Below are 24,914 nucleotides of genomic sequence, written 5' to 3'. Positions count from 1 at the left end.
CTAGTTATCTCAGTGGAGGCAACATTTGAAACTTGAATGTGAGACCAAAAAAGGAAAGGCTTAAATCAAAAGTGGCCTATAGTTTTTATCATGAAAACTAAATATGCAAGTGTTAAAATAATAATTATATCATACTATTTTCAGCTTATTATTTCAATAAGCTTTGTAATGCTCTTTTGTAAATATGCATTTCAAAAAAGCATGGCTTAACTCATATGTTGTAAAATTATAGTTTTTTCTGTCACACTGAAATTGTAAAGGTTGTTAAAATTATTTAACTATTGGTCACATCAAGTCATTTATTTTTCATCTCTTAATGTACTTAAAACTATTCAAAAACTTAAGAAGATTATTTTAGAAAATGCAGGTTTCTCCAGAATATATTTAGTGTAAAGAAGATATAAAATTTTCTTTCAAATAAAATACATACTTATTATTGATATTAATGAATCTTTGAAATCTTTGTGACTGGGTACTTAGGCTTTTGTGTCTTATTAAAAAAAAAGTAAGAAATAATATAAACCCATTTTCTTGGCTCTGTTGTGTAATACCCAGTTAAATTCAGGGTAATTTCACAATACTCTGTATAGCATCCTGGGCTAAGCTGTTGGACATTAATACAAGTGATTTATTTTCCTTCTAACACCATTTTGTTTCACGGAGAGATAAGTACTGAGCCTTTCTCACTTAAACAATAAATAAATTGGACACTATATGAGTTCAGGAAATCACTTTGAAACTTCTTTGTTGTTGTTTTTTTCTCCTCCGGTTTTTACAGAGATTTCGATTCTGTACTTTGATGCTTTTATAACAAAATGTTCCTTAGGCAGGGATATGAGAAATAAAATTGTACTGGGCAATTAAGGAAATGATTGTATTCAGGCTATGGTAACAGGGAGAAACATCCCCCAAAAAGGAATGGAGCCTGGGAGGAATTGTGAAAGTATGAGCCAAATTTCTTATGGTAGTCACAAAGAGGGGTGGAGAAAGAGTACAGATGATGAGTTCTTAGAACATGCATGAGAGTCCTTGAAAATTAGCAACTTCTCATAATACAAAATACTGGGATATTTCTTAACCATTCCTGTTTTCCAAGTGTGTAGGGCCCAGGTAAACTTTACCATTATCAGCACCTACCCGCTTTTATTCAAAATGAATAGGATTTCTAGTTGAACAATTCATAAGTGATCATAAACCTCCTGAGTGAAGGAAAATAGTCTCTAAGAAATTGCCTGAGGCTTCATTTGGGCTTGCTCCTGCCAAACCAGTTGGACCATTTGTTGAGAGGTGATAGCAAAGGCCAGTTGTTTAAAGTCTTGAATATTAAGTGTCCTAAAAAAGAAATGCTTAAAATAAAAAAGAAATGATTCAATTAAAAAAGAGACATTATATAAAATGTGTGTTAACAAAAAGAGCCAGAAGTTAATTCTGAGGATAAACAGTCTAGTGTATTCCAAGAGGTCAAGAGGTTGGTAAAGGAAAATCTTTCAATTACGCTCATTTCCTTTACACTCTCAAAACTAGGATGTTGACGCTCTTGGTGATGTTGTTCACAGTCATGGTTATTTGTCATATGAAGACATGCATGATCCAAGGATTTTGCCAGATTTCTTACGTGGTTCAGTGTATTAGTCCATTTCACACTGCTACAAAAAATTCCCAAAACGGAGTAATTTATAAAGGAAGGAGGTTTAATTGACTCACAGTTCCACATGCCTGGGGAGGCCTCAGGAAACTTACAATCATGGCCGAAGATGGAGGAGAAGCAAGCACCTTCTTCACAAGGCAGCAGGAAAGAGAAGAGCAAAGGAGGAATTTCCAAACTTATAAAACCATCAGGTCTCATGAGAACTCACTATCATGAGAGCAGCATGGGGGAAACCACCCTCATGATCCAATTACCTTTCTTCCTTGATATGGGGGATTACAGGTCCCTCCCTCGACATGTGGGGATTACAATTCAAGATGAGATTTTGAGTGGAGACACAGACCCAAACCATATCATTCAGACAGCAGATTGTCCAGGAAAAAATGCTTTTCTTGCATGTTCTGTTGTGGTGGTGACTCCTTTGAGGTTTAGTTGAAGTCATTAGGTTTTAGTCTACAGATCTTTAATTTCTGGGGAAATGGAACAGCTGCTAGGCAACCTAAAATACCAATAAGGATCTAGATAGTCATATTTTAGTTCTCAATGTTGTCATGGTAGGAGATAGGAAGAAAATGTGAAAATGTTTCTTTCATGAATGTATGGAAGGAAATGAATAATTAAAAATTGGGTAAATATTGAAAATAAGAAAGTATTGTCTAGTTCGATTTTCAGCATTTCAAAACTAATCTACCAATCCTGTATTACTTGGGGTTTTCTGGATAAGGGGAATATATATATATATATGCACACACACATATATATACATGTGTGTGCATATATATGTATATGGGCATATATATATGGTTCTCCAGATAATGAGAATATATATATATAAATATACGTATATATTTATATATGTATATGTGTATATATAAATATGTACACATATACACATGTATACACATATATATTTATATATAATATAAATATACAAACACATTTATATATTATATATACACACACATACATTTATATATTATATATACACACATACATTTATATATAATATAAATATATACACACATACATTTATATATACAAATATATACACACATACATTTTTATATACAAATATATACACACATACATATATATATACAAATATATACACACATACATTTATATACAAGATAAATACATACACACACATTTATATACAAGATAAATACATACACACACATTTATATACAAGATAAATACATACACACACATTTATATACAAGATAAATACATACACACATTTATATACAAGATAAATACATACACACACATTTATATACAAGTAAATACATACACACACATTTATATACAATTAAATACATACACACACATTTATATACAATATAAATACATACACACACATTTATATACAATATAAATACATACACACACATTTATATACAATATAAATACATACACACACATTTATATACAATATAAATACATACACACACATTTATATACAATATAAATACATACACACACATTTATATACAATATAAATACATACACACACATTTATATACAATATAAATACATACACACACATTTATATACAATATAAATACATACACACACATTTATATACAATATAAATATATACACAGCACATTTATATACAATATAAATACATACACACACATTTATATACAATATAAATACATACACACACATTTATATACAATATAAATATATACACACACATTTATATACAATATAAATATATACACACACATTTATATACATAAATATATACACACACATTTATATATATAAATATATACACACACATTTATATATATAAATATATACACACACACACACATATTTATATATAAATATATACACACACATATTTATATATAAATATATACACACATATTTATATATATAAATATATACACACATATATTTATATATATGCACATATATTTATATATGTATATATACACATATATTTATATATATACACATATATTTATATAAATATATATACACATATATTTATATAAATATATATGCACATATATTTACACATATATTTATATATACACATATATTTATATATATATACACATATATTTATATATATATATATATTTATATATATATAAATATATATACATATATATATATATATATACACATATATTTATATATATAAATATATATTTATATATATTTATATTTATAAATATATATACACATATATTTATATATATAAATATATTTATATATATACACATATATTTATATATATAAATACATATACACATATATATAAATATATATACACATATATTTATATATATACACATATATATATATATATACACATATATTTATATATATAAATACATATACACATATATTTATATATATATACACATATATCTATATATATAAATATATATACACATATATCTATATATACAGACATATATATACACACACACATATATATATTCCCCTTCATTTTCAGCCATGATTGTCAGTTTCCTGAGCCCTCCTCAGTCACGTGGAACTATGAGTCAATTAAACCTTCTTCATATATATATATATGTATTCTCTTTCCACATAGAATAAAATCTCTTCATATATAGGTATGTGTATGTGGGTATATATATACACCCCTCATAAATACACATACACCTACCTATGTGTGAAGAGGTTTTATTATTTCTCATTGGCTCATGCAATTATTAAGGCTGAAAGGTCCCACCATGACTGATCTGCTGGAAGCTAGAGACCCAGGAAAGCCAGTGATATAATTCAGTCTGACTTAGAAGGCCTGAGAACCAGCAGTTCTGGAGAAGATCAATATCTCAGCTCAAGGACTCAGGCAGGAGGGGTTCTATTCAAGCCCTCAAGGGATTGGGTGATGTCCCCTACCCAAACACATTTAGTAGTTTAATCTACTTTACTGAGTCTGCCAGTTCAAATGCTTATCTCATTCAGAAACACCATCACAAACTCATCAAGCAATAGTGTTTAATCTGGGTATTTTATGCCCAAACTGACACATAATAGTTTTTTGGATTTTTTTGGGGGGCGCGGTGGGGAGTAGAGTGTATGTAAATTGAACCTCCATCAGGGAAGACAGTGGTAGCAAACTTGCCAGTAATCAGGAATTTACGGAGGTGCAAAACAGGAATTGACAACCTGCAAAAAAGTACTGTAGAAAATACAGGTTTCTATTGAAACACAAAAATTTTCTCTAATTTGATGGCCCATTTGGTTACAGTAGGTCAGACATGAGCACAGTAGGAGAGCACACCAGACACACACACACACACACACACACACACACACACACACACGCCAGGAATTCAGGTGACCATTAGATGACAGTCAGACTGTTGTTAGCTGTATCTCTAAAAAAAAAATTGGTCACAGCCAGCACCAAGGAAAATAAACACCTCTTAATAAACAGACAAACCTGAAACTGGTAATCACCAGCTTCCCAATTAGATCTCAGGAGGTGGGCGAGTGGGCTCAAGCATGTGCATTAAGTGGCAAAAAGGCAGAGTTTAACTGGTATACGACCTAGGAACATTCAGGCTGGTACAGGCAGAACACCTCAAGTGAGCATGTGCACAACTCCAGTAAACACACTGCGTGTACAACCCCTCCCACATGCTGGTAGGTCGCTGTACAGGCAAAGAGTCCACCCCAAGAGAAGAATCGGGGGAAGGGATGGAAGCCTCTGGAAGCATGCCAACATAGAAAACCCCAAGTCAAAAAGTCAAACTGTGCACTTGATCTGTCAATCTGCCAGCTTGGCCTTCTTCCAAGTGTAATTTACTTCCTTTCATTTCTGCTCTAAAGTTTTTAAATCAACATTCATTTCTGCTCGGAAACTTGCCTCTGTCTCTTCTTCTGCCTTATGCTCCTTAGTCAAATTCTTTCTTCTGAGGAGGCAGGAATTAAGGTTGCTGTGGACACATACAGATTTACCACCAGTAACAATTTGATGAAAAGCACCTTCAAGGAAAGATCATTTTTATTGCAAAATAAGGCTGGTATCACTATTCTAGTTACTAACATAGGTACAACAAGAATGATAGTTTACGATTTAGGTCTTCTTGAATTACTTTGTTAGAAGTTTACAGAAGGAAAATTAAATTGGACTTAACAGCTTCTTGAAGCTAGGAAACCAACCCTAAATTTTTACCAGATTTTATCTGCAGTACTAATTAATTTGGAAAAAATTCTATGTTGCTGAGATGTCCAAAATATGCTAAAGTTCCTAGACCTCCCAGGAGTGACTTTCCTGACTCAATTTTAATGCTTGGAACCATTTTAAGTGATTGACCATGGCAGTCGCCCCAAGAAGGTTTCGTAAACATTGCCTCTGTAAAGTCAAACTCGCTTATTTAAAAGTTTCTGGTCATGTCCCATTAAATGAGCACCATTCTCAAAGATGACATTCTAGTCAAGGCTTTGGTTGTGTGAAAATTACTACTTCAAAATGTAAGCTGTTGGAACTCATTTTGAACCTTAAATAAATGTGAGTATAAGGTCTGAGTTGCGTGGCAGGCATCTGTAACCTAGAAAGCTGTAATTTTTGTTTCTATGATTATAGATTAGCCTCTCCCTTACCTGTGTTGTTTGGTAAAATGTTTTAAATCATTGAAAAGCACCAGGTAAGATCCCTTCCATTTTCATTGTTGATTTTCATTATAGATTAACTTCTCTCTTACCTTTCCCACACAAAGACTTCATGACCATCATATTGTCTTAAAATGGTATGTGAAGCATACTCTTTTAAATTGGTAAGGATATGGAAATAAGGTATACAGGAAAAAAATAAATGATTAAACTGTAACTCAAAAATGAGTCATATTGAGAAAATATTGTAAATCTGTTAATTTTCTTTGTTTTCTTCCTATATAAGAACTTAACTTTTAACTTCAGAACACTGACTCCATTTCTCTGGAGTCTGTCTCTGGAATGGCTCTTACAAGCTTTTCACTTGAATAAACTCTAAAACCGGACTCTGATCCTTTTGATTATTTCAGGTTGACATATTTGGTGCCTCAGGAAGGGACCCAAAGAGAACCTTTGCCTTGACCTCCTCTGCTTCATCAATCAGCACCTGCTACTGGCTAAACAATTTCCATCCAACCGACTTTGCTGGATTTTGTGGGAGCTCTTAGCAGGGCCCCTCTTGGGTTCCAAATCACCCTGGCTTAAGTGAGAGTCAGACTTTATTCAAGTGACCCAATTCCATGCTCCATGGGGCTGGAATTTAAGCTCTACTGCTTTAAGGTAGGAGTTGTGTTTGATTTTCCTCTAGAGATTCTGCTGTTTGCATGTTTGTGGTTCACTCTTCTTTGAAGTTAAGGTTTTGTTTGTCTTACTTGCTAAAAGCTGCAAGCTTTTCTCTCATGCAAATCTGGTTAAAGAGAAAGAGAGTGAATGTCGGTGGCTTAAGCAAAATTTGCGATTTAAAACTGTCAAGTTCTGAAGCTCAGTTCATATTGGCACATTTAAATTCTTTTTTTGAGTGACCAAGAATATATTTAAAAGACCTTAATGAGAATGTGAGAAGCCCCAAAGATGAAAGAAGACTGCTCTTCCCAGCCGAAAGGCACCTCACGCAACTGAGGTCACGTGGCAGGGTTGGAGTTTATAGTTCATGAAAACAAAACAAAACAAAACAGAAAAGTCTCATAGGGAATCCCTCCCCCGCCAGAAAAAAAATACAGGGGAATTTGCTTAAACTGGTGGGCCCACATGAAGGGTGAACTCCCAGTGCTTTAAGCAGCCCACAATTCCTGACGTTCATCGTGACACATGAGAGAGAAGAAGTGAACAAAGGGCGACATGTTGGGGAGCTATTCCCATAAGCAGTACATTTGATCCGAAACATCTTTCCTTTTAGCTTTGATCACCTACAAGGAAAATATAAATAATGAACAATCAGCCAACTAAAACTGAGTCCATCTTAAGGAGGAAACCACCTTTAGAATCTTTAGATTTCAATTTACAGATGAATTCAATTTACAGTTGAATTCCTGTAAAATACTTATGGTGCGACCTCTTGTTGTGATTTAGATAAATAGTCATATATAACTTGTGACAACCCTAAATTGAAATAGCCAAGGCAGGGTATCTTTGAAGTGCCTAAACTAGTTCATTTGTGCTTTCAATTAGTAAATGCCAGCTCTAGAATAAAAGAGAATAATTGGAAGAGTTTTTTCCAGTGGTATTTGGAAGGGTCCAAAAGAGGTTCTTATAAAGTTATTTCTTTACAGAGAGAAAACAAAAGATTATCTAAAACATTTTCCTAATTTAAAAAGGCTGCTGAAGCTTCTCCCTCTGAAGCTTCTCCTTCTATTCCCTTAGCTCCTTTTCCTCCTTCCCCTTTACTGTCTGACTTACGTTACCCTGATCTGCCTTCCCTTTCTTCACCTCCTGTCCCTGATGGTTCTGGCCTTGTTTCATCAACAATCAGTGTGTCTCAAGGGGCAGGAACCTGCCTTTATCAGCCATGGCCAAAGATAGAACTTAAAGGCATAATTAAGGATTTTCCCAATCCTCATCAGGACTCTACTGACTTTGCCAAAGAATTTAAACTAAATATTCAAGCGTGTGACCCTGCTTTTCTGATTTATATCAACTAGTTCACATGTTAGTTTCAGAAAGTAAGGCTAAGGATTGATAGATAGAGCCCTTTAGATAAATCCCCTAGAGGATTTCCGTACAGGTTCAGAAGAAGACTGCAGGCATGCCTGTGAAACTGCAAAGGCTCTGCTTGTAGCCATGCCTTTAGTCTTCCAAAAGGTAGTCAACTGGAAGAAAATACAGCAATGATGACCTTTCCTTAAAGCAAGGTTATCTAAAATGAAAGTTATCTAAAAACAGAAACTTTGATTTTGTCAAAAACAGGTAAAGTAGTTACATGTAAAGTACTTGAGCCACTTAATAGGCCTAACAGCTACTGCTGGCCAAAATCACTGGCCATTATTAAAATCCCAGGTCATTCCAAATCAGATACTCCAGAAAGCAGAGGAAATCAGCTAGCTGAGAAGGTAGCAAAGAGAGCTATTCAAAACATATCTAAACAGGAAAACCAACTTATATTAACTTTTAAAGAAGCATCTGAATTTGTCATAAAAGTAACTTGATCCAAAGTCCCAAAATCAGAAAAAAAAAAGGTTGGAAAATAAAAATGGAAAAAAACTCCCCAAAAGGTGAGATATAGTATACACCAAATAATTCATCCCTATTTCCTGCTAAATTACAGTTATTCTTTTTAATTTATGTAGATGGTCTAACTCACTGGAGTCTTGGCAAAATGGTTGCTTAAGGAAAACAGTATTATTGAAAACCTTCTCCAACTATGGGTCATAAGGTGTACGACCACTGACATATTTGCCCAAAATATAATCCAGGAAAAATATCACATTGTTCCCAAGGACACTTTCCTTTACCTGAGGCTCCCTTTGAAATACGGCAACTAGATTTTATCCAACTGCCACTCTGCTGAGGCTATAACATGCCCTGATAATGATTTGCATGCTTTCTTATTGGGTAGAGTCATTTCCTTGCGGAAGATCAATGGCCTTAGAAGTAAGTAAAACTGCCTGGCGCGGTGGTGGCTCACGCCTGTAATCACAGCACTTTGGGAGGCCGAGGCTGGCGGAACACGAGGTCAGGAGATCGAGACCATCCTGGCTAACATGTGAAACCCCGTCTCTACTAAAAATACAAAAAATTAGCCGGGTGTGGTGGCAGGTGCCTGTAGTTACAGCTACTCGGGAGGCTGAGGCAGGAGAATGGGGTGAACCCAAGAGGCGGAGCTTGCAGTGAGCCGAGATCTCGCCACTGCACTCCAGCCTGGGCGTCAGGGCGAGACTCCGTCTCAAAAAAAAAAAAAAAAAAAAGGAAAAATAAAAAGAAAAAAAGAGAAGTAAGTAAAATTATATATATTTTTTCATTCCAGGGGTTTTTCTAGAACCTCATAGTGACAGAAGCACCGACTTCACTGGACACATAATTTAATCAGTATATATAGTCAGACCTATTCTATACAATGTCCATTGTGCTTATCACCCCCGGTTATCTAGATTGGTAAACAACTGGCAATATTAACCAAGGCTGTTAAAAATCTCTTAGCAAAAAGTTCTTGCACTGTTTTTGCAAAACCTAAGATTGACTTCCTTCAAGCACGAGTTATCTCCATTTGAAATTATAACAAGCAGACCAATGAAAATGTTTCCAGAAATTGTGCTTCCTTATTAGTAAAAGGAGATATAGTCACCTATTGTAATCATATTATGATGATGGTTTTAAAAGGGGCTTTCCCTCCTTTGCTCAGCACTTCTCTCTCCCGCTGCCCTGAGAAAAGGTGCCTCATTATTAGGAAAACAGCATGAGGATGGCCACAGCCATGATTCAATTACCTCCTACTGGTCCCTCCCATGACATATGAGGATTATGGGAACTATAATAGAATTCAAGATGAGATTTGGGTGGGGACACAGTCAAATCATATCATCATCTAAGATGCTTTCTTTGAAAGTTCTTGATAAGAAGGCAGAAAATGTGAAAAATAAGTCATTAAAATTTAAGTTATTCCCAATTATTTTGAACTTAAAAAAGTGTAATTATGGGACTTGAGTCATGTCACAGACAGCTTTAACCTAGGAAACTGTAGCTTTTGTTTCTATGATTAAAGATTAGCCTCTTCCTTACCTGCATTGTTTTGTAAAATATAAATGACTGATTGGTGCCAGGGAAGACCCCTTTCCCCTTCACATGCTCTTGACAGTTCATCTTCATTATAGACTAACTGCCTTCTTTTCTTTCTCATGAAAAGACTCACAGCTGTTACATTGTCTTAAGATGGAATCTAAAATATGCTCTTAAACTTAAAAAGAAATGGAAACAACCTGTATGAAAAATAAAACAATAATTAATTTGTTGTAACTCATAAGCCAGCCAGATATACAAAATGTTGTAATTCTGTTAAATTTATTTCTTTTCTGCCTATATAAGCAAGAACTTATATTTAATTGTGAACCACTGATCCCATTTCTCTGGAGCCTGTGTCTCCCAAATGGCTATTCCTAGCTTTTCATTTGGCTAAACTCTTTAAAACTGGATTCAGATCCATTTAATAATTTTGGTTGACATTTGAATAACCAATGTTTCCAATTATCTATATCAAGGAAGATATGTTCTTATCAAACCTATGTAAATAATTATATTGCTATGAAAATAAATATATTTAATATTTATTTTAAATCCTTGAGGGATCAGGTAGGTAGAATAAGATATAATTTTTGTCTGTTTACAAAAGCAGACTCTACTAAATTGTTTTGAGTTATAGGTAACTTAGGAAGACAAAAGGGCTTCCTAATATATCCTGAAAATAGAAGATTAAAACATCAGCAGTATTCTGAACAAAAAAAATAGCATCCCTCATTTGTTTATTCTTTACTATCTAATTAATTTTTATTCCACTCCATCTTGAGTTGACAATCTAATCAATCCATCTGCTTCTCCACTAGAGTTCTGGAAATTCTGACTCAATAATACGTTAGCGTGGCCTTAACGTTGGTTACATCATCTGTGCCCAATAGTACCTGGCATAGTCCTTTTCATTGGAGCTTTATAACAGTTTTTCACTGAAGATGAAATGCATAAGCATGTGGCTGATTACAAGAACTTCCAGAGGAGCATTAAAATAAAGGAACAACAACAGCAAAGCCTTTAGCTCATAAAATATTAAAATGCCCATAATTAACTTATTACTGATAATGTTCAAAACTTAAAACTCTGAGGAAAGTTCATTATAAGAATAATGCACTGACAAAGAAATTTGATCTTTCTGTGGCAAATCAAGCAAGGTAATAAAGTTAATCCAAAAAAAGTTTTAGACAAGATATCTATCTATACACAAAATGATTAACTCTGCTTTTTAAAAGGCTGAATATTACATATAATCTTTAAAAATAAATATAACTTGTACAACAAAAACACATGATAATTCTGATATGTAATACACTGCGAATATTTCAAGCGTATAGTTAGAAAACATCAAATATATATGATCAAGTAAACAAAATTTTTAAGTGTGAATTAGGTCCTAAACATTTCTGTGTTAATAAAACCCCAGAGTAAATGATGCAAATCCCTCGTTTAAAGCCACTACCCTAAAAGATTCTAGATGAAAATTCTAAACATAAAATTATAGCCACGTTAGCATTTTTAATAAAAGAAATTGGCCAGGCGTGGTAGCTCATGCCTGTAATCCCAGCACTTTGGGAGGCCGAGGCGGGAAGATCACCTGAGGTCCGGAGTTCGAGGCCAGCCTGGCCAACACAGTGAAACCCCGTCTCTACTAAAAATACAAAAATTAGTTGGGCGTGGTGGTGGACGTCTATAATCCAGGCCACTTGGGGGTGCTGAGGCAGGAGAATCGCTTGAACCTGGGAGGTGGAGGTTGCAGTAAGCCGAGATTGTGCCACTGCGCTCTAGCCTGGGTGACAGAGTGAGACTCCCTCTCAAAAAAATAAAAATAAAAAAAGGAAAAATAATAAAAGAAATTATAACTGAGATAATTATATTTTTCTTGTGATAATAGGCAAAGCAGGACCAGAAACATAATTCTGATAAATATAAACAAAAATTATAAACAATTAGGACAGTAGCAAATCTATAGAATTTTTCTTACACTTTAGAGCTTCTAAAATATTATCTTTAATAATATTTTACCAATGTAAATTTAACCTAAGGCAGACTAGTATCTTTTTTTGATTTAATTGTTCTTGCCATGCAACTCATCATGAATCACTCACCAAAAAAACCTAATTGTTTTTAACACCTCAAGTTTTATAAGGTTAAGAAGTAAATCTTTGTGATTTTTCAAGGGACACTTAGAAACATTTTGAAGACAACTGCAAGGGCAAAGGATATTTTTTGGGGTCAATCTCAGGAAGATAAAATATCAAAAACCATCAGAATATTTTGAACACTTAATTAAAAGTGTGTATTAGTTTCCTAGTCTGCAATAAGAAATTACCATGAACTTGGTAGCTTAAAACAACAGAAATTTACTCTCTTCCAGTGCAGAAGGCCAGAAGTTCAAATCAAGGTTTCTACAGAGTGATGCTCCCTCTGAAGTTGGAATAGGCATAAGATAGATATTCTTATTCCTTAATCTTTTCTAAAAGGGAAGATTGAAAGAAATAAAGAGGTCACTGATGCCAAGCAAATTTGAAAGCTGCCAAGGCAAACTATATTAGGATTCAAGGCCTAAGAATAATTCTTTGACTCATTTTTCTGCCCTCTGGGCCTGTGGCTGTACCTTCTAGGCCTATGGCATCTCTGTAGTTGGCAACTACCTTCCGGGCATTGGCACTGTCAGCAGCCTCTCCCTCTCTGACATCTGAAACTGTGCCCTCCAAGTCATTTCTCCTTCATTTTATTCCATCTTTGTTCCTTTCTGTCTGCACTTTCAGTGTGTCTCCCAATATAACATTCTCAAAAACCTTGTTGATTTTTATGTGTGTCAACCTCCCTCTTCAAATTCTTCCCCTAGAACCCGCTCTCTGTTTATGGATTCTGCTCAAATGTTTTATTGACTCCATAAGTCACATGTCTGAACTCTTTACCAAAAGGTTGTTGAGCAACACTCTTCATGTTTTCTATAAAACGTACTTTCTCATCTATGGCTATCTGGATAGGCTGAGAGTTTTACAAACCATCTAGTGTTGATTCCATTTTGCTTAAGAATTTCATCCTCAATTTATCTTTTTCTTCTTTCATTTTATTATAAGCAACAAAGAGAAACCAGGCCAAACCTTTTCAACATTGCTTTAAAATCTCCTTACCTCAGCATACAAGTCCATTTCTTATAGTTCTACTTTCTACCTAATATTTGAACACAGTTTGGCCAAATTTTCTGCCATTCTACATCCAGGATCACCTTTCTTCCCTTTTCCAATATTATATTTCTCATTTTCTTCTGACACCTCATGTTTAATGTTTATATTTTAACATTTTATTCATAAAGATAACATGTATTCTGTAAATGTCAGCAGTTTCTCTCCTGTCTTCCTTATTTTCATCAAAGCCCTCATCACATTTGGTGCCTATAATTCTACAAATCATCTCTCCAAGATAAACTAGATTTTTTCTATCAAACATTTCAAAATTCTTCAACCTTCTACCCATTACCTAATTCTGAAACCACTTCCACATTTTGAAATATATATTACAGCAGCACCCACTTCTCAGTACCAAAGTCTGTATTAATTTCTGAGGGTTGTCATAAAAAATTAGCATAAACTTGGTAGCAAAAACCAACATAATTATATTCACTCACAGTTCAGGAGACCAGAATTCTGAAATCAAGAGGTAGTAGGGCCATGTTGTCTCTGCAGGTTCTAGGTAAAAGCCTTTCATTGCCTTTTCCTAGCTTCCAAGGGCTCCCTGTGATCTTCAGCATTCCTTAAATTATGGAAATATCACACCAATCTTTGTCTCTTTTTCACAAGAATTTTCCTCACTGTGTGTTTTCTTTTGTGCCATCTCATCTCGAATAAGGACACAGGCATTGTATTTAGGGCCCATCCCATGCAGTGTGACGTCCTCCACTAATTATATCAGCAAAGACCTTATTTTTACATAAGGTCACATTCTGAGATTTCAAATGAATATAAACTTTTAAAGGCCACTATTCAACTTGCTACAGGTAGGCTAATGGGTTACCAAAAAACACTTAGTTACTGTACTAATCCATTCTCACACTCCTGTAAAAAAAAAAAACAAAACCCTGAGATTGGATCATTAATTACCTGAAAACTGTGGACAGAAAGGAACAAAGGTTGGGTAATTTATTTTAAAAAGCCATTTAGTTGGCTCACAGTTCTGCAGGCTATACAGGAAGCAAAGTACTGGCATCTTCTCGGCTTCTGGGGAAGCCTCAGGCAACTTACAATCATGGTGGAAGGTGAAGGTGAGCCAGCATTTCACATGGCTAGAGCAGGGAGAAGGGGGCAGGGAGGTGCTACACACGTTTGAACAACCAGATCTTGTGAGAACTCTATCATAAGGACCACAACAAGGGGATAGTGCTAAGCCATTAATAAAGGATCCACCCCCATGATCCAGTCACCTCCACCAGACCACCCCTTCAACACTTAGGATTACAATTTTACATGAGATTTGGTGGGGACATAGATCCAAATCATATCATTCCATCCTTGCCCCCCCCCGTCAAATTTCATGTCCTTACATTAAAAATACAATCTTGGCCTCCCTACAGTCCCCCAAAGTCTTACCTCATTCTAGCATTAACTCAAAGGTTCAAGTTCAAAGACTCAGATAAGGCTAGTCCCTTCTGCCAATGAGCCTGTAAAATTAAAAAGAAGTTAGTTACCTTCAAGATAAAATGGGGGTATAGGCACTGGGTAAATTCTCTTACTCCAAAAGAGAGAAATTGGCCAAAAGAAAGAGATTACAGGCCCCATGCAAGTCCAAAACCAGGCAGGGCAGTCATTAAATCTTACAGCTCTAAAATAATTTCCTTTGATTCCATGTCTCACATCCAAGGAACACTGATGCAAGGGTTGGGCTCCAAAGGCCTTGGGCAGCTCTGCCCCTGTGGCTTTGCAGGACACAACCTTCATCACTGCTTTCAAGAGCCGGCATTGTGTGCCTGCAGATTTTTCAGGGACATGGTGCAAACTGTCAGTGAATCTACCATTCTGAGATCTGGCAGATGGTGGCCCTCTTCTCACAACTCCACTAGGCAGGGTTCCAATGAAGACTCTGTGTAGGGGTTCCAACTCTATATTTCTCCTCTGCAACACCCTGGTAGGGGTTCTCCATGAGGGCTCAGCCCCTGCAGCAGGCTTCTGCCTGGATATCCATGCTTTTCCATACATTCTCTGAAGTCTAGGCAGAGGCTTCCAAGTCCCAACTCTTGCACTCTGTGCACCCACAGGCTTAACGACACATGGAAGCCTCTAAGGCTTATGGCTTGCACCCCCTGAAGCAGTGGCCCAAACTGTACCTGGGTCCCTTTGAACCGTGGTTGGAGCTGGAACAGCTGGGATGCAGGTAGCAGTCCTGCATTCAGTCCTCCTAGACCTCTGGGTCTGTGATGGGATGGGCTGTCATAAAGGTCTCTGAAATGCCTTTGATACCTTCTCTCCATTGTCTTAACTATCAGCACTTGGATTCCTTTTACTTATGCAAATTTCTGCAACCTGCTTGAATTCTTCTCCTGGTAGTGTTTTGTTTTGTTTTGTTTCTTCTACTACTTGGCCAGGCTGCAAATTTTTCAAACTTTTATGTTCTGCTTCCCTTTTAAATATAAGTTCCAAATTTACATCATTTCTTTGCTCATGCATATGAACTCAGGTTGTTAGAAGCAGCCAGGTGAAATCTTGAATGCCTTGGGGCTTCAAAACTTCTTCTATCAGATACCCTAAATCATCACTGTCAAGTTCAAAGTTCCACAGATCTCTAGGACAGGGGCATAATGCAGCCGGGCTTTTTCCTAAAGCATAGCAAAAGTGACCTTTACTCCAGTGTCCAATAAGTTTCTCACCTCCATCTGAGACCTCATCAGCCTGGCCATCTCTTTCCACATCACTATCAGCATTTCTGTCATAACTATTCAAGCAGTCTCTAGGAAGTCCTAAACTTTCCTTCATCTTCCTGTCTTCTTCTGAGCCCTCCACATTCTTCCAACATCTGCCCATTACTGAGTTTCAAAGTTGCTTCCACATTTTCAGGTATGTTTATAGCAAAATCCCACTCCTCAGCACCAATTTTCTGTATTAGTCCATTCTCACATTACTATACAAAAATACCTGAGACTGGGTGATTTATAAAGAAAAGGGGTTTAATTGGCTATTGTTTTACAGCTATACGTGAGCATGATGCTGGCATCCACTTGGTTTCTGGGGGAGCCTCAGGGAAAATCATGGAGGAAGATGAAAAGGGAGTCAGTACTTCATATGGCTAGAGCAGGAAGAAGTGGGTAGAGGTGCTACATACTTTTAAACAACCAGATTTTGCAAAAACTCTATCATGAAAACAGCACCAAGGGGATGGTGCTAAGCCATTACTGAAGGATCCACCCCCATGATTCATCCAATCACTTCCCACCAGGCCCCACCTCCAATGTTGGAGATTACAATTCAACATGAGATTTGGTGGGGACACAGAACCAAGCCATGTCAGTTACCTACTTAATCAAAGTGACAAGAAAAGATTTTGAAAGTAATCATAGGAGGTAATATAATTGTAAAGAAACTTAGCTCTTTTAAATGTGAGAACTTTGGTCTCTTCAAAAATCAAAGACATAATCAAGTTAATATAAAGCATAGACAATTATTCTAATAAGATCCAGAATGTTCTCTTCCATCTCATTTTTTAATGTGTGTCAGGCAACCTATGCTTGCCAAATAACCCTTTCAGACTTCAGTGGTTCAAAGAATTTCTCTTTCAGTTTTTAGTTTAAATGTTTAATTTAACAAATCTGGTATTGGTTTAAATAATGTGTTAGGAGTACTTTACTTATGAACAAAGCATGAGTCTTTCAGAATTGCAGAATTTCTTTCCTTCCCCCAAAGATGGTATATTGGTTGTGTGAAAGTGTTTTACTGTGCCCACACGGCTGCAGTGAGCTATGTGCTTTTTTTCTGGAGCTTAGTCTTCTTTTTCTAACTAGATTATTTGACTCCACAGACTGGTTGAAGCCCTTTTGTCTTCTGTACACTTTCTTTCATTCCTCTTTTTTCCAACTCCAAACGTTTGGCACTTCATTATAGTCTGAGCACCCCATATTCCTTCACTGGGAAAGGGCAAGGATTCTCGGTCTCTCTGAATCAACACAGGCCAATTTATAAATTACCTTCTTACTGTCGTGACAAATAAATACAGCCCAATGTATACATACAAAGCCTAAATTAGATACAGATTGAGTAACTGTTACCCAAAATGCTTGGGATCAGAAGGGTTTTGGATTTAGAATGTTAAGGATTTTGGAATATTAACATATACATAATGAGGTTGGAGATGGAACCCTAGTCTAAACAGAAAATTTATTCATGTTTTATGTATACCTTATACACATAGCCTGAAAGTAATTTTATATAATATCTTAAATAATTGTGTATATAAAATAAAGTTTTGACTGTGACCTATCATAGCAGTTTAGGTATAAAATTTTTTACTTGTGGAATCATCTTGGCACTGAAAACATTTTGAATTTTAGACCATTTAAGATTTTGGAGTGTTGTAACTTGCATGGTTTTTTCCTAAGACAGAACCACCTACTCACAACTCAGGCTTTTCTGAGGCAAAACAAAGAGAACCATTTTAGAATACAACAAAAGACAAAACACCTTTCTCCTCTGGATTTTATGTCTAGTCTGAACTCTGGTTACATACTCATAGTGACAGGTGCATTTCACAAGTTTGACATTCTAACTGTCATTTCTTTTTGAGAACTAGCTTAGATATCTTTCTCTTACTGACCATAGTCTGCTTATATAAATTAGCCTTGCCTCCCTCTTTTCCATCTCAAGAAAAAGTTATCCACCGTTTTCTTTTAAGTTAAGTACACACTTATCTTCATTATATTTTTCTCTTCTCCAAATCCATCATGTATCCTGACTGATCAAATTACTATGTCTTCTCTACCTGGGTCTTCAATTTTTCACTTTCTTTTTGGTCTTTTCTAATAGCATAGTAACTTGTTCAGATTTTTCCACCATAAGAAAAGATACTCTCTGTATTAGTCCATTTTCACACTACTATAAAGAACTGCCTGAGACTGGGTAATTTATAAAGAAAGAAGGTTTAATTGACTCACAGTTTCGCATGGGTTGGGAGGCCTCAGGAAATTTACAATCATGTTGGAAGGGGAAGCAGGCACATCTTACATGGTGGCAGGTGAGAGAGAAAAGTATGCATGAGGAACTGTCAAACACTTATAAAACCATCACACCTTGTGAGAACTCACTCACTCTCATGAGACCAGCATGGAGGGAACTACCCCATGATCCAATCACCTCCTTCTCTAAACATGAGAAAAGATTTGAGATGAGATTTGGATGGGGACTCAAAGCCAAACCATATCATTCCACCCCTGTCCCCTCCCAAATCACATGTCTTTTACATTTCAAAACCAATCATGCCTTTCTGACAGTCCCCTAAGGTCTTAACTCATTCCAGCATTAACCCAAAAGTCCAAGTCCAAAGTCTCATCTGAGACAAGGCATGTACCTTCTGCCTATAAGCCTGTAAAATCAGAAGCAAGTTAATTACTTCCTAGATACAATGGGGCTACAGCACTGGGTAAATGTCCCACTTCAAAAGGGATAAACTGGCCAAAACAAGTGTCTACAGGCCCCATGCAAGTCCAAATTCCAGTGAGACAGTTATTAAATCTTAAACTCTAAAATAATCTCCTTTGGCTCTATGTCTCACATCTAGGGCATGCTGATGCAAGGGGTGGCTCCCGTGGCCTTGGGCAGCTCCTTCACATGCTGGTGTGAGTGCCTGTGGCTTTTCCAGACCCACAGTGCAAGCCAGTGCAAGCTGTCGGTGGTTCTACCATTCTGGGGTCAGGAAGATGGTGGCCCTCTTCTCACAGCTTCCCTAGGCAGTGCTCCAGTGCAGACTCTGTGTGAGGGCTCCAACCCCACATTTCCCCTTTGTACTGCCCTAGCAGAGTTTTTCCAGGAGGACTCCACTCCTGAAGCTGACTTCTGTCTGGACATTCAGGTATTTCCAAATATCCCCTGAAATCTAGGCAGTGATTTCCAAACTTCAATTCTTTACTTACATGCACCTTCAGGCCCAACACCACATGGAAGTCACCAAGACTTGGAGCTTGCACCCTCTGGAGCAACAGCCAGAGCTGTACCTTGGCCCCTTTTAACCACAACTAGAGCTGAAGGGGCTGGGATGCAGGGCACCATGTCCCAAGGCTGCATAGAATAGCAGGGACCCTGGGTCTTGCCCATGAAACCGTATTTCCTCCTAGGCCTCTGGGCCTGTGATGGGAGAAGCTGCCACCAGAATCTCTGACATGCCCTGTAGACATTTTCTCCATTGTCTTAATGATTAACATTTGGCTCCTTGTTACTCATGTAAATTTCTGCAGCTGGCTTGAATTTCTCCCCAGAAAATGTGTTTCTCTTTTCTACTGCATTGTAAGGATGCAAATGTTCCAAATTTTTATGCTCTGCTTCCCTTTTAAACGTAAGTTCTAATTTCAGATCATTTCTCTCAAGATCAAAGTTCCACAATTCTCTAGGGCAGGGGCAAAATGACACCAGTCTTTTTGCTAAAGCATAGCAAGAGTGACCTTTGCTCCATTTCTCAATAGATTTCTCATCTCCATCTAAGACCACATCAGCCTGGATTTTGTTGTCCATATAACTATCAGTATTTTGGTCAAAACCATTCAACAAGTCTCTAGGAATTTCCATACTTTTCCACCTCATCCTGTATTCTTCTACGCCCTCCAAACTGTTGCAACCTCTTCCTGTTACTCAGTTTCAAAGCTGCTTCCACATTTTCAGGTATCTTTATAGCAGTACCCCACTTCTGGTGTCAGTTTACTGTATTAGTCTGTTTTCACACTGATGTAAAGAACTGTTGTAAAGAAAGGAGGTTGTAAAGAAAGAACTTGGCTCACAGTTCTGCATAGGTGGGGAGACCTCAGGAAATTTACAATCATGGCAGAGGGGAAGCAGGCATGTCTTACATGGCAGCAAGTGAGAGAGAAGACTGTGTAGGAGGAACTGTCAAACACTTATATAACCATGAGATCTCATGAGAATTAACTCACCAGCATGGGAACAGCATGGATTAAGCTCCCCTGTAATCCAATCACCTCCCTCCCTTAACACGTAGGGATTACAATTCAAGCTGAGATTTAGGTGCGGACACAGAGCCAAACCATATCACCCTCCTCATATCCTATAACACATATAACACACTTTCTGTAAGGTAAAGTTATCTTTCAGTTAGACTAGCATAGTTCTATGCTTCTGGCAACATCTGAAGTCTAGTACTAACTCTTGACTAAGGTAAAAATAATGAAGATAGATAATAATTCATAATCTTTTGTTTAAGGTTCATATTCACCTTGTGGTGCTCACAGTCAGTTTTTTACATTGTTTTGGGATGTATAGATTGGTAGTTTATTCCTGTTCTAACTGATTACACACACTGGTACGTTACGTGATCAGTGGCACATAAATGAGCCCATTGGAAACTTTTGCCAAGCACTTTTGAAATGAAAATTTCTTGAACATATCTTGGTAATGCATAATTCAGAGATGAAGCATTTTTATGAAACTATAAAAGGGTACTGAAAAATCTTTGGGTCCACAATGCTTGCCTGTGCTTCATTTATCCTACTACAGCATATCCTTATCTTGATTAAAGTATTATATGAGTATACCTGGTGGACCCTTGTGAGTTCTTCAAATTATCTGCATGGAAACACTTATTGTACCCACTCAACATAATGCCACTTTCTAACTCTAGGCATTATAATTCACAAAAATCCCTAGAGATGAGAATATGGCTCAATTGAGGTAAGCCAAATCAGGGTTTAAGGGTATGTTAACAGAGAGAAAAGCTCTCTTTTCTCTAAGACTATAAATAGAAATGGTGTATTCCTGGAATTGTTTGTAGCAGTGTTCTCACCTTCACCACCCCAGTGGAATTCATCTGTGTCAAAAAAGAAGGGTGATAAAATAAAATGATAAATTCTGAAGGAGAAAGACAATGAAAAAAAGAGACAGAAGCAGAAAAAAACATGTAAAGAACTCTAAACTCCTTAAGTTAGCCTGCTACTGAGCTCTCATTATTTGAACAATAAATTCCCATTTATGCTTTAGCAGTTTGAGTGGTGTTTCTGTCACATTTAACCAAAACAACTTTGACTAATACATTATTTTAAAACAAAGCCATAATTTATTCATACATTTATTCCCAGGTTTAACAAATGCCTGGCGTATTCTAGATAAAGCATTGAGTAAATTTCTATTTATTTATTTATTTATGTCCTTATTAGCGTCAGGGTCTCATTCCGCCACCCAGGTTGGAGTGCAATGCCATGATCATGGCTCACTGCAAGCTCTTCTAACCCCCGGGTTCAAGCCATTTCCCCTCCTCAGCCTCCCAGGTAGCTGGGACTAAAAAGTACATCACCCCACCATATTTCATAAATTTTAAATCCAAAAAATAAAGAATAAAACTAATGGATACTGAAGATTAACTTAGGTGAATACATTTGTATGTCCCCAACTTCTTGAAAAAGCAGGATGAATTTAACCTACATGTGTCTGTCAAAGCATAAGTACATATACTGTATTAAATTTAAATAATTTGAATTACATACAGTGGAGATATCTTAATTTTATAACAGTGTATAAGTGTCACTCCTGAGATACAGTACTCAGGGACTGTTTTTGACACTCCTTTTCTATTTACATTAATTTGTGTGACTAGATCTTTAATACATCCAGGTGAAATTTTAGCCAAGTCCTCTGAGTTTCTAATAACTTTTTCTTACTATATAATATTCTCTGATCAATAATGAATATGTCTTCAAAACACTTACAACACCAAATGCTGGCAAAGTTGCGGTTCAATGGGAACTCTCAAGCATTGCTGGTGGGAATGCAAAATGGTATAACTACTTTTAAAAACACCTTGGAATTCTTAAAATAAAAGCAAACATACTCTTACCATATAACCCAGCAATTCAACATTTTGGTATTTACCAAAGTGAACTGAAAAATTATGCCCCCAAAACCTGCAAACAAATGTTTGACAGCTCTATTCATAATTACCAAGATATCCTTCAACAGGTAAATGAACAGACAGTGGAACATCCAGACAATGGAATATTAATTAGTACAAAAAATAAATGAGCTATCAGTTTGTGAAAACACATCAAGGAAAGTTTGTTACTAAGTGAAATAAGCCAATCTGAAAGGGCTAAATACTGTATGATTCTAATTACATGCCATTCTGGTAAAGGCAAATATGGAGGCAGTAAAAGTATCAGTGGTTTCCAGAGGTTAGGAGAGAGGCAGAGAGAAATGGGCCGAGCACAGAGGATTTTTAGGGCAGTGAAACTACTCTATATGATACTATAATGGCTGATATATGTCGTTATACGTTTGTCAAAGACCCAGTGTATCTGTGACATGGTACATTCTCAATAAATGTTGACTAAATTGTTATCATTAGCTGTCACTAACATTCTCCACATGTATCAACATATAAAAGCTATCAAGTATACATTAAACTGAATATTATTTTACTGAAAACATGATGGAGGCAAAAACTAAAAGAATACTGTCATTGTTCAAACTAATGCATTTCAACACATTTTACATTGTTATGCATGACATAATATGTTTATGTGATATTTGAATACATACTTCAACTTTTCACCTTTCTTTCCCCATTGTCTACTCTCTATTTTTTATCCCTTTATTTTCAACTTTCTCTTTTCTTTTTATTTTTATCTTTTTCCTTTTCTCTCATATAGAAACCCTCTACCTTATATAAAAACCAATACATCTTTCAGCTTTTTAAAAATTATCATGAAGTTTTTATATTTTGAATATTTTGTGAAAACTTAAATAAACTGAATGCGTCAATGTTTTGTATCTCATCTGACATAATTTTTAACAATTTAGACTCATTAGTTACTGATAAAAATGTAACAATCATTGCAATTTAATCCCTGATAGAAGATCCATAAAGAAAAGTAGATCCTCATAGGACAAAGATTTTCCACTTATTTCATAAAGAATCTAACTCCTAGTGTCTGTGTCTGAAAGCTGTCTGAATTGATCACAATAAACGGAAAGGAGCTTAGCAGAATGAGTGTCTTTCATAATCAGGCATTACATGGGCATCAGAGTAGGGTGATAACTCCCTGCTCTATTCTATTTTATAAGAACAGGAGAAATTACATGGATGAAAGAGGATCAGGTACCTTATTTCCTTTAGTTCCCCTAAACTTCTTACACTTAAGTATGGTATACGACAGAGATAAGAAAAAATCAAGGTAGACACAACATCGAAAGCACAGCGTATTTTTAAAAAGTGTTCCTTATGATCAAAGCTGAAGAAAATTTTACAGACAAGAAGTTCGGAAGTAAATGATCAAGTCACTTAACGGGGTTTCAAAATTTATACTGCCCAAGGCTGAATGAGAGATTGCAGAGCTTTCATCCTTCCATTGATAAACAGAAAATAATTAAGTTTTCTCCTAAATAATCCCTGCCCCGTATTTTAAATAACAAAAGCTTCCCTTCAGCTGTATCAGCCCAACAACTTGTCCCAATTTTTTTCTCATTAATAAAATATTTAACAGTTCAAACAAATGAGTATGGATCAATTTAGGGGAAAACAGTCCAAACACTTCTAATGTCATCAGTAATTTGTAAGAAATAACTTGCATATAAAAGCTTTGGTCTTTTTCTACTTTTGCTCCATTGATAATGATCATTTTTGAAAATTCATATTTATTAATATTATCCAGAAAGTAAACACATGATTTACAAGCACAATGATTTCTCCTAATCTTTTCCCTTTCTGGGTGATGCAGAGAGACAGATAGATAGGGCTGTGTATATAAACCAAAAAGGAGAAACCCTAAAAATATGAATCTGTGAGCTTATATACACATTACCTGCTTCCCTTTAAAAGGAGGGAGAAAAACTGAATCTCCCTAATGGGAACATATTCCCTTTGGGAAAAGAAGGGGAAGGGCCCTGGGTTCTTATCTTTTGGAACGTCAATGCAATTCACTGGGAAAAAAATGCATTTCACTGTTTCATTCCATGGGATATTTCCATAGTTCTGGATTTTATCTCCCTTTAACATCTATTTATTTATTTAGAGACAGAGTTTCACTCTTGTCACCCAGGCCAGAGTGCAGTGGTGCTATCTTGGCTCATTGCAAACTCTGCCACCCAGGTTCAAGCTATTCTCCTGCCTTAGCTTCTTGAGTAGCTGGGACTATCAGGTGTGCACCACCATGCCCGGCTAATTTTTTGTATTGTTGAGTAGAAACAGGGTTTCACCATGTTGGCCAGGCTGATCTCGAAATCCTGACCTCAGGTGATCCGCACAACTTGGCCTCCCAAAGTGCTGAGATTACAGGCGTGAGCCACCATGCCTGGCCTCCCTTTGACATACCTCAAAGATGTAAATCCCTTATTATCTATTCAGTCATCTTTTAGGTAAA

The 24,914-nt window shown here is 36.2% G+C and overlaps 1 long non-coding RNA gene across 1 annotated transcript in view, besides 1 other annotated feature; it reads right to left on the bottom strand.

Moving 5' to 3' along the window:
* Window positions 1-4,823: 4,823 nt before the first annotated feature.
* Window positions 4,824-24,914, bottom strand: part of LINC02008 (long intergenic non-protein coding RNA 2008) — a 477,534-nt gene continuing 457,443 nt past the window's right edge. Inside the window, exons 5-9 of the long non-coding RNA NR_147146.1 lie at window positions 14,947-15,017; window positions 13,989-14,113; window positions 12,684-12,827; window positions 10,352-10,548; window positions 4,824-5,583 (exon numbers count right to left, since the gene is read on the bottom strand). This is a non-coding gene — a long non-coding RNA (long intergenic non-protein coding RNA 2008). The remainder of the gene's footprint in view (window positions 5,584-10,351; window positions 10,549-12,683; window positions 12,828-13,988; window positions 14,114-14,946; window positions 15,018-24,914) is intronic.
* Window positions 5,501-6,700: an enhancer, noted in NCBI's record as "CDK7 strongly-dependent group 2 enhancer chr3:82510950-82512149 (GRCh37/hg19 assembly coordinates)". NCBI's record gives its function as "activates an origin of replication core promoter dependent on BRD2, BRD4, P300/CBP, MED14 and CDK7 cofactors, with strong dependence on CDK7, by STARR-seq in HCT116 cells {active_cell/tissue: HCT116}" and the evidence as "EXISTENCE:reporter gene assay evidence [ECO:0000049][PMID:35650434]".

Source organism: Homo sapiens, chromosome 3, assembly GCF_000001405.40.
Source record: "Homo sapiens chromosome 3, GRCh38.p14 Primary Assembly".
Classification (NCBI taxonomy): Eukaryota; Metazoa; Chordata; class Mammalia; order Primates; family Hominidae; genus Homo; species Homo sapiens.
Note: the sequence above shows the minus strand (reverse complement) of the source record. Positions and strands in the feature narration are given on the sequence as shown.